At 44.0% G+C, this 17,865-nt stretch overlaps 1 long non-coding RNA gene and 1 pseudogene across 2 annotated transcripts, besides 2 other annotated features; one reads left to right on the top strand and one right to left on the bottom strand.

Annotated features, from left to right (window-relative positions):
• Positions 7,523-7,732: an enhancer, noted in NCBI's record as "active region_12524". NCBI's record gives its function as "activates an Ori minimal core promoter by ATAC-STARR-seq in GM12878 lymphoblastoid cells {active_cell/tissue: GM12878}" and the evidence as "EXISTENCE:reporter gene assay evidence [ECO:0000049][PMID:35858748]".
• Positions 7,923-7,992: an enhancer, noted in NCBI's record as "active region_12523". NCBI's record gives its function as "activates an Ori minimal core promoter by ATAC-STARR-seq in GM12878 lymphoblastoid cells {active_cell/tissue: GM12878}" and the evidence as "EXISTENCE:reporter gene assay evidence [ECO:0000049][PMID:35858748]".
• On the bottom strand, positions 8,379-17,765 carry HEATR6-DT (HEATR6 divergent transcript). Its single transcript, NR_135648.1, has 2 exons — positions 17,602-17,765; positions 8,379-8,913 (listed from the first exon to the last, which is right to left on the bottom strand). It is a non-coding gene; the product is annotated as an HEATR6 divergent transcript (long non-coding RNA).
• Positions 8,607-13,508, top strand: WFDC21P (WAP four-disulfide core domain 21, pseudogene; annotated as a pseudogene). Its single transcript, NR_030732.1, has 3 exons — positions 8,607-8,877; positions 11,871-12,019; positions 13,308-13,508. The product of NR_030732.1 is annotated as a WAP four-disulfide core domain 21, pseudogene (transcript).
• Positions 17,766-17,865: the final 100 nt, after the last annotated feature.

The raw sequence follows: 17,865 nt of genomic DNA, 5'->3' as shown, positions 1-17,865 counted from the left end.
GACCAGAACCCCAGCCCAAGGTCTCCCAGTCAGGCCCGCTGGAGGGAGCTGGCATCCACACTGGCCAGTTTCCCAAAGCTACAGGGATGCCAGTCTCACTGCTGATGAACAAAAGGAAGGGCATTTGCTTCTCCTGCAGGCTGTCGGGATTTAACACAGATTCCTTTTCTTGCTCTCTTCTCTCGTAGCACAAAACAGGGTGGTCCATCCCCCTCCCGCTGTCCCAAGGCTTTGTTGCATGTTCTCTTTAATTTCTCCCACTCTTGCAGTGCACCCTACCTGCATCTCCCTGGCAACCATTCTGCTCTATCCTCTCCACACCTGGATCACAAGAACACTTGGGAGGCCCCTTAACAAGCTACATCCCAAATTATCATTCCCCTTTGTCCTCAGCCAGTGCCCAGGTCCAACTCGCTCTCCTGCGGTGACTTTCTTTCCTGCCCAATATGGTTTCATCATCTGTAAATTGGGGATAATTAAAGTCTTGATCCTGATATTTGACTCTCAAAGCAGAAGTAGCAAGCTCAGCCAAATCACTTAAACAAGAGGAGACGTTCCTTGTGAACCAAAAGGGCACTGGTCAGAAGGGCCGTTCCTTCTTCTCTCAGGCCTCTCCAGCACGCCCTTGGCTCAGCCAAAGAAGAGACTCAGGCTGTGCTTCTATGCCATCGGGATAACATAGGTACCTTGTCCTTGACCCTGCGACTTTAACAGTTTCCTCCTGTGGCTCAGTTCTACAGCTTCAGTGACACAAGGTGGTTTTTGCTCAAAATGGCCTTTAATAGGTTAAATTACTTCTCTGTCACTCTAAGTCTGTGTGGAACAGTTCTAAGTAAGAGACATTTATTCCCCTGATCCCAAGGAAGGGAGGAAAAGGCAATGACATTAACCACGTGTTGGACCTCAGCCACTGGAAAACCCTGGTGTTGGCTGCTGCCAATGCAACCGGGGATAGCATCACAAACATCAAGCGATGCCAGGAGGCCCTGCTTCATTCAGGGAGCAGGGAGTCGGGATAGGCATGCATACCTGTTCTTATTCAGCAGAGACACTTCCTCTTTATCTATTTCTGGGTGAGAACCAGCACCATTTCCCTGGTGATGGGGGCCCCAGCTAGGAATCATATAGGGTAGGATGCTACCCTATATGGTTTGAAATATCATGCTGGAGTCTGAAATGGTCATGCTGGACTGCAACACCTTGTGGGTCCTCAAATGATTATGAGTTTCTGCCCTCAGGCACATAAGGCCCCAGCAGAAGCAACCTGAGAGTGGACCTGAAACAGCATGGGTATGTGTGTCTGTTGAGGAATCATAGAGAAGGTTTCTATTCAATATGGACCTCAGGGCCATGTTCGCCTGACTCCAGTCCCAGCACAGCCACTCACAAGCCTTGACTGTGAGCAAATCACTTATGTTCTCTGAGTTCCAGCTCCCTTATTTCTCTAATGGGAATTGGATATCTCACTACAACTCTGCTTTTGTGCAACTGGCCACAAGAGTTGCTTGCTAAGTGTGAAAATCCCTTACTGACATCAGAGGCCTCTCCTTCTGTTTCCCTGCTGATCAACAGCTGTGGCCAAAAGCTGACTTTAGCCAAAAGCTAAATTTTTGCAAGAATTTAATATAAATTTATATTAAATATAGAAATAGAAACAAAAGGGCTAAATCTGCCTGTGTTACAGGATCTTGGTTAATGCTAAGATCTCAAATGACCTGAGTCAATTACGTAGTCTCTTTCTCTGCCAAGATGATTAAACAGTCCCTAAAATAAAGGCTATGGGTCTTGGGTTCTCCCAAAACTTTGAGAAATAAAGAGGGGACCTCTATGCTGGGTTGTAACAATTGCACCTCTCACCTGATAGTGGCTTGTGGTATCCTTGGAGTCTAAAATCTACATGATGCTCCCTGGGAAGTGGCTGCTTTCTGACTGGTATGCTTGGATCTGTGCAATGGACAGTCATTGGTGGCCCAGAAATCTTTACTTACTTCAGGCTGGTCCAACTCCAAAAAAAAAGTGTCCACTCTACCCTTTTTCTCCTCTTCACTGAACTTCCCTTTCTCAGTTTCATGCTGAAACCCCAAGACTCACAAATATTACCTTCTTCTATGCCAACAAAGTGCACAATGATGTCACCCCAAAGTCTTCCGGCCTCACCAGCCAATAGGAAGGAATGAAATTACATCTGAAATACACCATGGGCTGGCACTTCCTAAATGTAACATGACTATAGTATTCCACAACTATAACACTGCCATTTTTTCAGAAAAAAATTTATAATTGTTCCATGGCAGGCAGGTCTATGCAAACCTACCCCCAAAGTACAAGGAAGCTGAGAGGCTGAAGAAAGAGGCTGACAAATCCTATCTCTTAGAAGGTAACATTTAATAGGGACCTACAAACAGAAGCCATGTCTGTGTCTCTGGTGGTGGAGAGATGAGATGGTGGATCCCTGCACCATTACCCCACAGACCCAGGGCTGATATACCACAGGAAAAGGGCATACATGATTCAGAAGTGATGTGTAGAACAATTAAAGTATGATAACACCAAAGTTGTTTTGACCTAAGAGCAGAATTTACAGTAAGTATGTGCTGTTACACAAGGAATAACAGACAAACTAGAAATTTTATTTATTTTTTGAGATGGAGTCTCGCTCTGTCGCCCAGGCTGGAGTGCAGTGGCATGATCTCGGCTCACTGAAAGCTCTGCCTCCCAGATTCTCTTACGCCATTCTCCTGCCTCAGCCTCCCGCATAGCTGGGACTACAGGCGTCTGCCACCATGCCCAGCTAATTTTTTTGTATTTTTAGTAGAGACAGGGTTTCACCATGTTAGCCAGGATGATCTTGATCTCCTGACCCTGCGATTTGCCCATCTCGGCCTCCCAAAGTGCTGGGATTACAGGCATGAGCCACGGCGCCCGGCCACAAACTGGAAATTTTAATGGCCTTCCCAGAGCAGAGGTTAATCTGAAGGCAACATGGCAGATTACAACATGGAGTTGCTTTGGCCTTCACACAGTGACTTCAAGAAATTAAGAATCCCCAAAAGTAGCCACTCTCTTTAGGAGTACAGTGGAGGGCGGCAGCAGTGGTGGTAGTGATGGTGTTGGTAGAAGAAAGAGGTTAGGCTGACTTGTCAATGTCAGCCATTCTAACTGACTTTTGAATCATTAGATTCTCCAATGAGAATCTGCATTGTCTTAATTAGCTGCTGCAACAAAAGTAAATTGTCCCAAAGCTCAGTGGCTTGAAATAACAATTGTTCTCTGTTGCAGAAAGTCAGGAACCCCAAACGGAGGGACCGGCTGGAGCTGTGGCAGAGGAACATAAATTGTGAAGATTTCATGGACATTTATCAGTTCCCAAATAATACTTTTATAATTTCTTATGCCTGTCTTACTTTAATCTCTTAATCCTGTTATCTTCGTAAGCTGAGGATGTACGTCACCTCAGGACCACTGTGATAATTGTGTTAACTGTACAAATTGATTGTAAAACGTGTGTTTGAACAATATGAAATCAGTACACCTTGAAAAAGAATAGAATAACAGCGATTTTTAGGGAACAAGGGAAGACAACCATAAGGTCTGACTGCCTGTGGGATTGGGCAAAAAGAGCCATATTTTTCTTCTTACAGAGAGCCTATAAATGGACATGCAAGTAGGAAGGATATCGCTAAATTCTTTTCCTAGCAAGGGATATTAATATTAATACTCTGGGAAAGGAATGCATTCCTGGGGGGAGGTCTATAAAGGGCTGCTCTGGGAATGTCTGTCCTATGCGGTTGAGTTAAGGACTGAAATACACCCTGGTCTCCTGCAGTACCCTCAGGCTTATTAGGGTGGGGAAAAACCCGGCCCTGGTAAATTTATGGTCAGACCAGTTCTCTGCTCTTGAACCCTGTTTTCTGTTGTTTAAGATGTTTATCAAGACAATATAAGCACCGCTGAACATAGACCCTTATCAGGAGTTCTGCTTTTGCCCTTGTCCTGTTTTCTCAGAAGCATGTGATCTTTGTTCTGCTTTTTGCCCTTTAAAGCATGTGATCTTTGTACCTGCTCCCTGTTCATACATCCCCTCCCCTTTTGAAATCCTTAATAAAAACTTGCTGGTTTTGAGGCTTGGGCAGGCATCACGGTCCTACCGATATGTGATGTCACCCCCAGCAGCCCTGCTGTAAAATTCCTCTCTTTGTACTCTTTCTCATTATTTCTCAGCCGGCTGATACTTATGGAAAATAGAAAGAACCAACGCTGAAATACTGGGGGCGGGTTCCCCCAGTAGTTCTCATGAATCTGTCAGTCAGCTAGGGGATCAGAAGGGGGTCAGCTGATCTGTTGGTCAACTAGGGGGTCAGAAACCCAAATCTTGCTGGTTTAACTTGTTATCCCTTACTGGTTATCCCTCCCTGTGTGAAATCCAAAACTGGAGTACTTGAACAGCAAGCAGCTTTCCTCCAAGTGGTGATTCTGGGACCAGGCTCCTTCCATCTTGTAGTCTTCACCAGCTTCAACACATGGCTTCCAAGATAGCTTGCTTATGTGCTTCATGCCAGCAATAGGAAGAAGACAGTGGAAGGCTGTGCATGGGGAGCAGGGGAGTTAGGGGTCTCACACTGGAAGTGGAGTGGATCACTTCTGCTCATATTCCATTAGCTAGAACTCAATTGCATGGCTGTAGCAAACCAATGGCAAAGAAAGCTAGGAAATGTAAGCTACTGTGTCCTCAGAAAGAAGAAATGAGTCTGGTAAACAGCCAGCCAGCCTCTGCCACTCATATAGAGGCTTTCCTCCCCAGCTGTGGCTAAAGTGAAAAAGACTGACCAGCTATTTACCAAACTTAGTGGTCAAGCATTCCACAGAGTCATCCTCGTAATGTGAATGTTCTTCTGACCATTCAGAGCCTACGGAGCAGCAAAGCTGGTATTTAGAGCAGCTTTTGCAAAAGGAGAAATAAAAACTTAGATACAAAAGATGGATCAACATTTCTGAGAACCTGTAATACAAGAAGGCTTGAGTTTTTTTTTCAAGTTGGAAAGAGGAAGTAAAATGTTATTATAATCAAATATGGGATTTTCCCTACATCTGAATGTGCCAGGAGGCTTTTTACCCTAGGAAGTCTCTACTTGTTAACATTTCAGACAGTGTGACTGAATGAGGAATTCTAGATAGTTCTGTGAAGACTGGGGGAAGAAGAAAAGAGGATGCCAGTCCTTGTTCCTAGGCCAAGACCTGAGCCCTGTAATATTAATATTTGGATCTAAAATCAGGTAAACAGGGGTGTGTAAGGAAAAGTCATAAACAGTGTCATGTGAAGGAGAGAGCTTGGGATTTGAAATCAGAAAGACTTGGGGAATTAAGTTGTGTAAACCTGGGCAAACTACTGTCTCTTCGTGTGTGAAATGAAGACAACCTCTGAGAATGTTTTTGATCTTTAAAGGGGGTAGCGATAGGAGATCTGCATGTGGGGTGGGGGGTAAAATCTGGCACACAGAAGGAACTGGCCCAGTATATGCCAGTTCCTTTCTCCCTGCCCCATTTCTCTCTGTCATTCAAAGTGGCCACCATTCTTTAGAAGTCTTAATTATTAGGCAGAAGAAGCTGTTTCCCTTGGCTTAGAGAGCTTTTTTGAAAATACTTAATGCTAAACACAGGTCTATAGAATCCAGAAAGGTCAGCTTCCTACTGGGGCTTAAGCTTCCAAATACCTGTGTCATGACCCAGGATGCACATGCTGGGAGGGAAGACATAAATCATAGCCCATCTCTGCCCATCTGTGTTGTCATCAAAGGAAACTTCCCCAAGCAACATGATGTTGGGTTAAATAACTTGTCCTCAGTCATGCAGCTACTAAGTTGGAGTCAGGATCTGAGTCCAGGTGATCTGATTTCTGAGCTCAGATTCTTAGGCTTACCTGAGACACTATCTAGATCTGGTACAAGATGAAGAGGTGTAGGTGGAAGGATGCATGCCTTATATAAGATTGTGACTTTATTGACCCTCCCTTGCTAATGACTCTTTAGGCAGAATTGGTCACATACTAAGCTTCCTGACCTCCATATGGGAATCATGAGCCCGCATAGAGCCATGGAAGTGACAGTAATACTAGCTTCAGCCTTGGAGTCTCTTCATGGTTCAGTTTACAATATCCAGCAGAATAAAATAGGGACAGGTTCTGAGTTTTCTTTATCTTGAAATATTTCCTTAATTAAATTATACACTTTTGCATGAGCTGTCTGTAGATGCCCTGCTCTAGGGAATAGAAAGACATGCATCCTCTTTCTCAGAAATTCACAATAGTAGCTGCTAGTGTTGAGGGCCCTGTGCCAGGGGTATGTATGTGTACACATATTGTAATTTGGTCTGTCCAACATTGAAGTAGGAATTATACTCCCCACTTTACAGAAAAGAGAAGTGAGGCTCAGAAAGGGAAGTTAATTTTCCCAAGGTCACACAGCTAGCAAGTAGTGAAGCAGATGCGAACCAGACCCGTCACACTCCGGGGTCCTCACTCTCAGGCCACTGTGCTATACTCGGATCAGGCTTGTTTTCACAACCTCGAAACGGCCTTAGTAAACAGCCAGCAATAAGGGCCACATGCTGCTCCTCAACTCACTTAAAACCGAAGTAACAGTTTTGGGTGGATGGCACCTACTTTTAATCTGATTGAGTACTCAGAAGCCTCTAGAGTGAGTTGCTTAGCTCAAAGCAGTTATTTTGTGCTAATGAAATTGTGATTACGGGTGCCACACTAGATGAAGCAGAATTCTGTGACCTCAAAAGCTCATTTATCTGTACCCAGAGATGAGTCCAAATTATTTTCTAAGAATTTGGATGTAGCCTGACAGTAATGTGTACTAGTATAGACCACTGTCTTTGGAGTTTGACTGTGGTTCTGCCATTTAACTATTACTTGGGGCTAGTTAAACTTTCTGTGGCTTAATCTTCTCAACTGTAACGTGGCAATAATAATGCCTGTCTGTATTGGAAACCACGTGAAGTGTCTTCCTAATTACAATGGCTCTCTGAATGCTCCTCATCATCCCAAAACACACATTATTGAGGATAATAAATGCCCATTATTGAGAGCTGAGGATGAAAGATCAGTAAGACCCCATGCTAGCCAGCAAGATACAGGAGAGAAATGTAAAATGATCATAATAATTAATTACAATAGAGTCTGACAAGTCCTATGACAAAATAAGTACTAAAGAGAATGTTACTCTCCTAGGGGTGGAAGTTGAGGAAGGTTTTGGAGGTGACATTTAGGCTGGGCCTTGTTAGATAAGAAGGATTTGCAGAAAAGGTCAGTTGTTTGCCCAAAGGACTTCTAACCAATGGCATTTCAGGAACTGTGATACATGAAGTAGAACAGAGTGGGTCTCTCCCTGTAACCTCAGAGTTAGGAACCAGAAGTGAAACATCATGTACTTTAGACTTACAAGTGAAGTCTAAAGTTGACTTCACTTTAGAAAGTGGCCCAGGGGGCCTATCACAAGGTTGCAAACTTGTCTCACTACCCTCAACTAGCCCAGGTATCCTCCTTATCTCACATTATATAAGGTATCTTGTGGGACACACGACACATGGCCAAAAGTTATACATGTCTCCCTGCATCCTTGCCATTGGAGAGGGAAGAGGGTATATTTCTCCCTACCCCTGACAACATCCCCACTCCCCTGCAAAAAAAAAAACAACGGGAGTGTGTGTTTAAGAAAATCATTCATCTAGATTAGGAGTGCTACAAGGAGGGGGAAATGAAACCTCACTCCCCAGCTGGTTGGTTACTATGGTCCCGCCCCCACTCCCACCCCAGAGCTGCAGGACGAGAGATATCCTAGAAGAGTTTAATATGCATAACTTGAGTTTGGGTTCTCAGAAATGAAGTTGGATGAGATGAAGCAGAGCTTTATCTCAAGAAAATTACATAGCTCCTATAGGCAAAGACCATCACATCTGCCTAGGTATCCAGCAACAGAATCAGACCAAGGCAGTGGGAGACTGAGGCCACCTCTCTACCACCAGCAGGTGATAAGGGAGCACCCCTGCCTGTTCTGTACTGCTTTTCCCTGCCCTCATTTCCAGAGGTGCTAGGCCTGGAAGTTGGGGGTGGAGGTGGGCGGGTGTGGTGGGTCGGGGGAAGAAGGGAAAGAGCAGACTGCACCCTTGCTACCTGGCACCTAGCTCCCAGACTGTAATTTCTCTGGGATTCTCTCATGCCTAGCCCACGCCTGGCCCAGAGCAGACATTCAATACTTATGTTGAAAATGAATGAGTGAATGAATATACATAATAAAAGTTAATACTCATCCCTCCACCCTCCCCACGCCAGCCCCTTTTTCTCAGTCACTCACAGCTTTTTTGATTTAGGAGTCTTTTTCATTATTTAACTTTTTTTTTTTTTAATTTTGTAGAGACAGGGTCTTGCTCTTGTTACCCAGGCTGGTCTTGAACTCCTGGGCTCAAATGATCCTCCTGCCTTGGCCTCCCAAAGTGCTGGGATTACAGATGTGAGCCACTGCAACTGGCCTGGTGTAGGAGTCTTATTTTTCTGTCAGAGGAGGGCGTTCCCTTGGCTCAGAGCCTTGCTTAGGTAATGTAGAAGGACCCAGGGTACACAGGGTGGGTGGCTATTCTCCAGAAATGTCAGTTTCTGGGCAGGGCTTAGGTGTCTGCAGTCCCTAGTCCCACCCCTGGCCTTGCATTCCAGCTCAGCGGGTGGAAGGTATAAATTTCAGCTGCTCTCAGCCCTGCTGTGTTTTTCCAAAGCCTTCCAACAGCAACATGAAGTTGGCAGCCTTCCTCCTCCTGTGATCCTCATCATCTTCAGCCTAGAGGTACAAGAGCTTCAGGCTGCAGGAGACCGGCTTTTGGGTGAGTCCAGGCAGAAGGTAGCCCTGTTCATTTTTCCTTGAATGAGGGGGCCAGAAAGTAGGACATCAGGGACCAGTGTGTGTGGGGAGGAGAGGGGAAGAAAGGAAAGAAGAAAAGGTCTTAAAAGGCCACTGCAGGGACCCTCCAACTGCCGCTACTCAGCTCCCCAGAGCAGAATCTCTTTTCTTCTACCTCCACCTTCCCGCACTCCTTTCCCTGGGTCACCGCTCCATTTGGAATCTCTGTACCTCCCCTCTTACCCCCTCATCAGCCACCCTCTGACTCCTGCCCTCTCCCTCTCCATAAGCTTCTTCCTCTCTTGCTACAAGTAAATTGGATCACCTAGAGAAAATATTTTCTGAATCATGTTAAATATTAATCATCTCAATCTCTTCTTTTCCTTTTACCAACATTCTCAAAGGAGTAATCTTAATTCTCTGCCCTTATTCCCCCATAAGTTATTCCTTGACCCCTTGAAGATGGCCTACAGCCTCCATCCCTGCCCCATCACTCTCCTGAAACTTCTCTCCCAGATCCTGTGGACAAATCTCATGACTCCTCAGTCACCAAGTCTTTAACCTCTGTAGTGTCCGACACTGCTCGCCACCTCCTCAGTTCTCAAACTTTCTTTTCTCCTGTATTATCCTTCATGGTATTTTATTCTTCTCTCTAAACATTATTGGATTCAGTTATTACTTTCCTCTCTTCTTTGCTCTCCTTCCCCTGACATTAAACTGGTTGCCAAATACTGTCCATTCTCTGAGAGTGTCTCTTGCATATGTTCTTTCCTTACCCTGCCATCTCCCATTGTCACGCAGTATTTCCAGCCCCGATGACCTCATGTCTGGGCCATCCAAGGAGCTTCCTAATAGCTCTCCCTGCCCCTGTCTTTCTGCAGCAGTTTGCTTGCTTGTTGAATTCTGTTCCATTCTAGGCTCTCACACCAGAATAATCTTCCTAATTAAACAGCAATCACATCTCTCTCTTGATCTATCAAATGAAATCCAAACTCCTGAGGCCCTCGAGATCTGCCCCCCAACCCCCGTAACTTTATCCCCTGCTTACTTTTCCTGCTTCATTTCCAGCTGTTCCCTAACACTTACCCAGCCCTCCATCTGCCACTCCTCCTGTGTTCCTTGTGTTTCACGGTGAGGAGTGAAGTGGATGAGGCACCCAGGGTGCAAACATGAAATGGGTGCTCACCGCCAGCATTGTGCAAGGCACCTCACTTGCCTCACCCTCATCCCAGCCCTTTTGCATTTCCCCTTGTGAACTGTTGCTAGTAATTCTTCTTTCTTCTCACAACACTCCACCCATGCCCCTCAGTTCTGCCTTAAAAAGATTCCTGCACTTCAAAACTCACCTTTTCTGATTAATCTAATTGGAAGTAATGTCATATTCTCTGAGCCTTTTTTTTTTTTTTTTGGCAGGATCTTGCTTTGTTGCCCAGACCAGAGTGCAGTGGCATGATCATGGCTTACTGCAGCCTCAATCTCCTGGTCTCAAGTGATCCTCCTATCTCAGTCCCCCAAGTAGCTGGGACAACAGGCATGTGACACTAAGCCTGGCTAATTAAAAAAAAAAAAAATTGTAGAGACTGGGTCTCACTGTATCACCCAGGCTGGTCTCAAACTTCTGTGCTCAAGTGATCCTCCCACTTCAGCCTCCCAAAGTGCTGGGATTACAGGCATTAGCAACCATGCCTAGCTGAGACTCTTTAATTCTTCAGATATACCTCTCTTAGGACACTTGTTACATATTGCTTTGTTTTTAGTACTTTGAATATGTTTTATCCATATTGTTAGACTCTAAGCTTGTTTGTCTTATATCTTTGTATTTGCTGGATAATTTCCTCTATTTTATACATAGTAAGAAATCAACATATACTTAATAAGTATATATTATTGACTTAATAAGTCAAACTGCTGTGAGTGGGGAAGAGGAATCTTCAGCCTGCTCACCACAAATCAACAAAAGCTACGGGAAGCATGGGGGGATGGTACTGATTTTCTCTGAGGTCTACAACTACATTGAAGATATCCCACCAGGTCCCCTTCTTATACCCCTCAGATACTGCTAATCAGTCCTAGCACTCTTTCTCTTTGAACCTGGACAAGGTGTCTGACCCTTCTCAACACAGCATCAGACAGCCACCTCTATTGACTGAAGTTGACAATGGAGAATAAAACTCATTACCCCTGCTGAATCCAGGGGCCCCTTTTTACAGATGAGAAAAGTTCCAGAAAGACCCAGAGACATAATCAGGTAAAGAAATTCCTGCTAATAGCTGAGTAGCCAATCAAAGTACAGTACATATTCATCCAGAGTTCTGCATATGTTTTCCTAAAAGCCTGTGCGATCTTAACCAACTCTTTGAGCCTACTTCATTGGTCCTCAAAGAGCTTGATGTTCTGGGAACTTGGGAGCCTCCAATCAGGTCCAGAATGACTCCTTGAAATTTGGAGATATGTACCTAGGTCAGGATGAGCTTCACCATGTGGGACAGCAGAAGGTGCTCAGACTGAGGGGCCAGGCAAATCTCAGTTGAATCTCACTTCTGTACCCACTGGCTAGCAAGTCACCTCTGTGAGCCCCAACTGCCACACCTGTAAAGTGGGCCTAGTAAGACTCACTGCATGGGGTGACTGCAAGTGTCTCCCGATGGCACATGGTAAATGTGAGTCTCTTCTTCTCCACTCTATTCCCTGCAGAGTGGGGAAAGTGAAGACATTTAAGTGGGTTTCTCTGCACTTCCCCTCCACAAACACAATTATCCCCATCTCTAAAGTCGGCCTTACTGTTTTGAGATTATGTGAATGCATTGCTTTTAACTAGAATATATAAGATGTTAATGATATTATTCTTCAAGTAATAAATCATATTGCATATTGAATGAAAAGAAAAATGTAGAACTGACTTCTTAATCAAGGGCTGTTCTCCCTAGCATCTGTCCCAAAAGTACGGTGGTTTTCAGCACATCCGTTCTTCCATAGGTACCTGCGTCGAGCTCTGCACAGGTGACTGGGACTGCAACCCCGGAGACCACTGTGTCAGCAATGGGTGTGGCCATGAGTGTGTTGCAGGGTAAGGACAGGTAAAAACACCAGGCCCTCCCTGCTTTCTGAAACGTTGTTCAGTCTAGGTAGGTTGTGCACTTGGTCTCAGTGGGACTTTCCAGAAATGAGTAGGACAGAAACCTACCTGTCTCCCTCTTCCCCCACCCTTCCCAAGAAAAAGATGCATCCATCACAGGCTGGTGGTTTCCACACCTTTAAAATAATTCCCTAACCCAGTATGCCCTGGAGAAAAATTGGACTATTTACTTAAGCAAAATGATAAAAATCACACATAATCCCCCACCCCAAAACAATGTCTGCTTAACACTTTGGTGCATATTTTAAACATACACAAATATGTAATATTTATATAAAAATGAGATAATCATGTGCCTATTTTTATTTTTTATTTCACTTAAAAGTAGCTACCAAACAACTTTTAATGTCAATACTAATGCTTCTATCCCATCATCTTTGATAACCTATAGAAGTTCATCAGCTATGCTCAGATACTTAGCAACCTTTAGTAATACATGTTTAAGATATTTCTTATTTTGATATTATGAATATGATTGTAACAAATACTAAATTGGCATACACACACTTATTAACTTCCTTGGGACAAATTCTAAGATGTAAAATTGATGACTAAAGAGTATGTTCATTGGTCGGGCCCGGTGGCTCACACCTGTAATCCCAGCACTTTGGGAGGCTGAGGCGGGCGGATCACGAGGTCAGGAGATCGAGACTATAATGGCTAACATGGTGAAACCCTGCCTCTACTAAAAATACAAAAAAAATTAGCCAGATGTGGTGGGGGCACCTGTAGTCCCAGATACTCAGGAGGCCGAGCCAGGAGAATGGCGTGAACCTGGGAGGTGGAGCTTGCAGTGAGCCGAGATCGCACCACTGCACACCAGCCTGGGCAACAGAGGGAGACTCCATCTCAAAAAATAAAAATAAAAATAAAAATAAAGAGTATGTTCATTTTAACCCTGTGATGTACATTGCCATGTTGACTTATGAGAACCCCTTTTCTGTGAAAATATCTCAGGGGCCTCACAGGATAATTTATTTGTTTTCAGTAGCCATTAGTTGAAAAATGCATAATAAAAAGCTACCAGTTTTGATTATAAACTAAGTTGCACTAAACACAACAGAATCAGCATACACTTTAAATAAAAACCCTTTGTGTTCAGAATGTATTGTTTGGCCAATCCACCTGCAATCCTTGGACTGCTTAGGGCCTGGCTGGCTCTTTGCAGGTGTGATTGATTTCCCAAATTGGGAACTGTTGCCTCTTGATTGTATTCTGTGGATCCAGGTCCCCAAAACAGCAGGTCTCGGGCAAAATTTTTTTTGTCTTTTTCTCAGATGAAGAGTTATCTTAAGGATCATCTTTCCCTAAGATCGTCATCCCTTCCTGGAGTTCCTATCTTCCAAGATGTGACTGTCTGGAGTTCCTTGACTAGGAAGATGGATGAAAACAGCAAGCCTGTGGATGGAGACTACAGGGGATATGGGAGGCAGGGAAGAGGGGTTGTTTCTTTTAATAAATCATCATTGTTAAAAGCACTCATACTATTTGAGTTATTTGGTTAAAGGTGAGGAGGAGGGGGAGGAGGACAGATGACATTTGTTGCGTACTGACTATCAACAAGGACCATGTTAAATTCTCCCCAGGCATTATCTAAGTAACCTTAACAACCTTTTGACTGCACTTCTTATCATTACCATTTGAGGACACTGAGGTTTGGGGCAGAGTCATATAGCAGGTAAGTGTCAGGGCCTAAACTATAATCTCATGTCGAACGCCATATAAGTCCTATGCATTATAGCATGGTGGTCAGGAGCCCTGACTCTGAATTTCAAACCCAGGCACACCACACAGCCATGTGGCCTTCAGTGAGAGTCTTCATCTTTCTGTGATTCGACTCATATATATAATAGTACCTCATGAAACTACAAAGATTAAAGAGGGTCACATAAAGTGCTGACACATAGAAAGCATTCAGTAAGTGTTAACTACAATGATTATTAACACAGTAGTACCCCTAATCCACGGGGGATATGTTTCAAGACCCCCAGTGAATGCACAAAACCGTGGATCGTATCAAACTCTACATATACTGCCGTGGATAGTATCAAACTCTCTATATATGTGTTCTGTCCTATAAATACATCCTTATGATAAAGTAAATTTATAAATTAGGCACAGTAAGAGATTAACAATAACTAATAATAAAATAGAACAAATATAACAATATGCCAGCATCACTACTCTTATGCTTTGAGACCACTAAGCAAAATAAAGGTTACTTGAACACAAGCACTGGGACAGTGGATCTCATAACTGAGATGGTTATTAAGTGACTAACGGGTGGGTAGCATATAAAGCGTGGATATGCTTGACTAAGGGATGATTCACATTCCAGGCAGAATGAAGTGGGATGGCGCAAGATTTCATCACGCTACTCAGAACAGCAGCAAGTTGAAATGTATGAATTGTTTATTTCTGGAAATTTCCATTTCGTTTTTTTTTTCTTTTTTTTTTGGACGGAGTTTTACTTTGGTCACCCAGGCTGGAGTGCAATGGTGTGATCTCGGCTCACTGCAATCTCTGCCTCCCAGGTTCAAGTGATTCTCCTGCCTCAGCCTCCCAAGTAGCTGGGATTACAGGCGTGTGCCAACACGTCCGGCTAATTTTTGTATTTTTAGTAGAGATGGAGTTTCACCATGTTGGTCAGCTGGTGTCGAGTTCCTGACCTCCAGTGAGCAGCCCGTCTCGGACTCCCAAAGTGCTGGGATTACAGGCATGAGACACTGCGCCCAGCGCATTTCATATTTTCATACTGTGATTGACCACGGGTAATTGAAAAGGCTGAAAGTGAAACTACTGATAAGGGGGGACTCCTATGTAATCACATAGATAGGCTGATGACCCTGAAACAGAACTCAAGGCCAATCCTCCTTCCTAGCCTCTCCTGGTTCAAAGTGTAATCTGGATACCGAAATCAAGCTCCTGTCTTCTGGTTTTCCCCATTACAAAATGTGGGAGGTAAAAAACAATGGGTTTATAATTTCTTGTCTATGTTCTTCACAATCACAGCCAGCCTGGGCTGCAATCTGATTTCAACCAATTTGCTGCCTGTGCAGCCTTGACCAACCATTTATACTCTTCGGCACCATTTTCCCAACTATAAAAGGGGGAAATAATATCTACCTCATTTGATACTAAGACTTATAAAACTTTATAGTTTACAAAGCATTTTCACAAAAATCCCATTCGATTTTCACATCAACCGGTGGCAAATAGGGGACCCTGAATAAAAAATTAGTGAATTCATTCATTCTGTTAACAAATATTGTGGGGCATCTACCACATCCCAGGGGCTGTGCTAGCCCTGGGATACAACAGCGAATGAGACAAACGGGAACTGTGCCTTCATAAAGTTAATATTCTAGAGGGGAAAACAGATGATAAAGTCATCAAATAAACAAGATAACTGCAGGTTATGGTAAATTTTCCGAAGGAAATAATCAAAGATGTGAATTAGAGTGAAGTGGGGGTATGCAAGCCTACGTGAGTTAGGATGACCCAGACGCTCATGAAGGGATAAAAGTGAAGTCTTGAGAGGTTTCCACACATGAAAGGAGTGAAATTCCACTGAGGTTCCAGATCATCCGATGCAGAATCTAACAAAGGAAATGGCTGTGAACGTGCTTAGCACCCCTTAAAGCCCCTCAGTCACTGCAGGACTATGAAAATGCAGAGAATTGAGGAGGAGACAGAAGATTTTCTTGGAAGAGAGCTTTTGCCATGCTGTGTTTCCACAGTTTCAGGGTGGGAGGTGGGAGCAGGAGTGCTACTGTCTAAACTCAAGCCAATGCAGGGTGCCTTCAAAGGCCTCCCTCAGAGCTTGAGATACGTTTCCTTCAGTTGGTGATCACTGCAGAGTAGGGATGTCCATTTCCTTAAAGGAACCACACTGATCCAAAACAGTATATTCTACCAGAACTGAACAGACCGGCATCAGTATACTGTATTTTACAATTCCTGGGCCATTCCACCCTGAATAACACAATATGTAGGTCATCCATATTGCAACTTAAAGTGAACCACACCAAACCCAGATCCTTTCCAGTCTCTTCGAACGTGCATTGTGGAAATGACCAGGCCTCACATCCTTCTAGCCCAATGTGTAAGACAGCTCTTTAGTACTACTTCACATACTCTTGGTCTTACATTCTTACTCTAGCCATTGCTACAGCAACTAGTTTATCACAGGCATCTACTAGCTTAGCACAGGTATAACTGGTGAGAGCCTTGCCTCAGATATGCACCTAGTTTCCTCACTTTTGCCTCAGGGCTTCTTTGACTATGCAACATAGGACTCCTCCAGGAACCAAGCACAGATGCATGCTCAACACAGGAACACCAGTGAATTAATGCCTTGTGGTCAACTTTTGACAATAGACTTCAAAAGCTGACAGATAAATGCTTTTCCTCTCTGTTCCTCAGAAGAAGGGTTTTGAGAGCTTCACAAGGCTTCTCAGAAACTCCTGAGGACTGAACAATCAGTCACCCCTTGCAATGGCCAACTCAATAGCACATATTGGTATTAATTCTCCTTCCTTCCCTGTTCATTTCTGGATAAATCCCTCACCTATCAACCTCATCTGAGGCTCTGCTATCAGGGAACCCAGATTAAAATATCCAACGACTAGGTTTCAGCTCCTGATCTTCTCTGAACAAATGCTTGAATACATTTCTTTACACGAATACACACACACACATGCACATATATAACGCACATATGTACACAGACTAGGAATAAGAAATAATATACCAGCACAACGGAATCTAAATCCAAACAAAAAAATTAACATTTCTCCCCAAGCCCAAAGTCTTCAGAAAACTACCTCTGCTAAAGCATACCCCCAATTTTCACTGCTGAACAGAAATGTTTTGTTCTCAGGATAAAACATACATTCAGGTGACTTCAAGGTTTTCCCTAAGGGCCAAGGGTGAGGATTTGCTTTATATTTGCATAACTCAAAGGCCCTAGAGATGGTTTTCCCAATCTGCCCAACTGTGAAAGTCAAGCCTTCACTTCCTGGATGACTGAAAAGTGATCACAGATTTTTAAATGGCCATTTTATTCTCCAGCTTCTTGACTTCAAGGTTTCAGAAAATCTTGGGGTGTCTCATTTCAACCCGGTCACTCTTAGGCAGATTATATTTTACATGATTCAGTTAAACTCCAAAATTACTCTTCTAGTGGGGCGAGGTGCCTCATGATCCATGAGAGGATTCACACTGGGAAAAAGGGAGAAAAAGGAACCAAGAGTACAGCCAGCTGTCACTTAAGTAGGGAAAGCTGCCTTATATTCCACTGACCAGATTGCAATCACAGAGCCACAGCCAACTGCAAGGAATGCTAGGGAACGTAGCCTTTATTCCGGGTGGTTTTGTGCCTGGGGAAAGATTTTAGAAGAGTAGAAGGGTGCCTTAGAACTAGCGGTTTCTGCTACTGCCATCCACAGCATACCCTCTCCAACTCCAGCCCGAATCTGAAACTCTAGTACGGAACAGAGTACCTTCAGCCCTGTCCAGGAACAAACTCTGGGAGGACAAACTTTCTGGAAGCACAAATTGAGAACTCACTTTTCAGTCAGGGCTCAAGAAGGAGTGGCCGGCGAAAAATCTCCAAGCCAATTTCTTTCTTTTTTTTTTTTTCTGAGACGGAGTCTCGCTCTGTCGCCCAGGCTGGAGTGCAGTGGCGCGATCTTGGCTCATTGCAAGCCCTGCCTCCCGGGTTCACGCCATTCTCCTGCCTCAGCCTCCCGAGTAGCTGGGACAACAGGCGCCCGCCACCACTCCCGGCTAATTTTTTTTTTTTTTTTTTTTTTGTATTTTTAGTAGAGACGG

The sequence above is a fragment of the Homo sapiens genome, chromosome 17 (assembly GCF_000001405.40).
Source record: "Homo sapiens chromosome 17, GRCh38.p14 Primary Assembly".
Classification (NCBI taxonomy): Eukaryota; Metazoa; Chordata; class Mammalia; order Primates; family Hominidae; genus Homo; species Homo sapiens.
The sequence above is the reverse complement of the archived record's forward strand: the minus strand, read 5'-3'. Positions and strand labels throughout refer to the sequence as shown.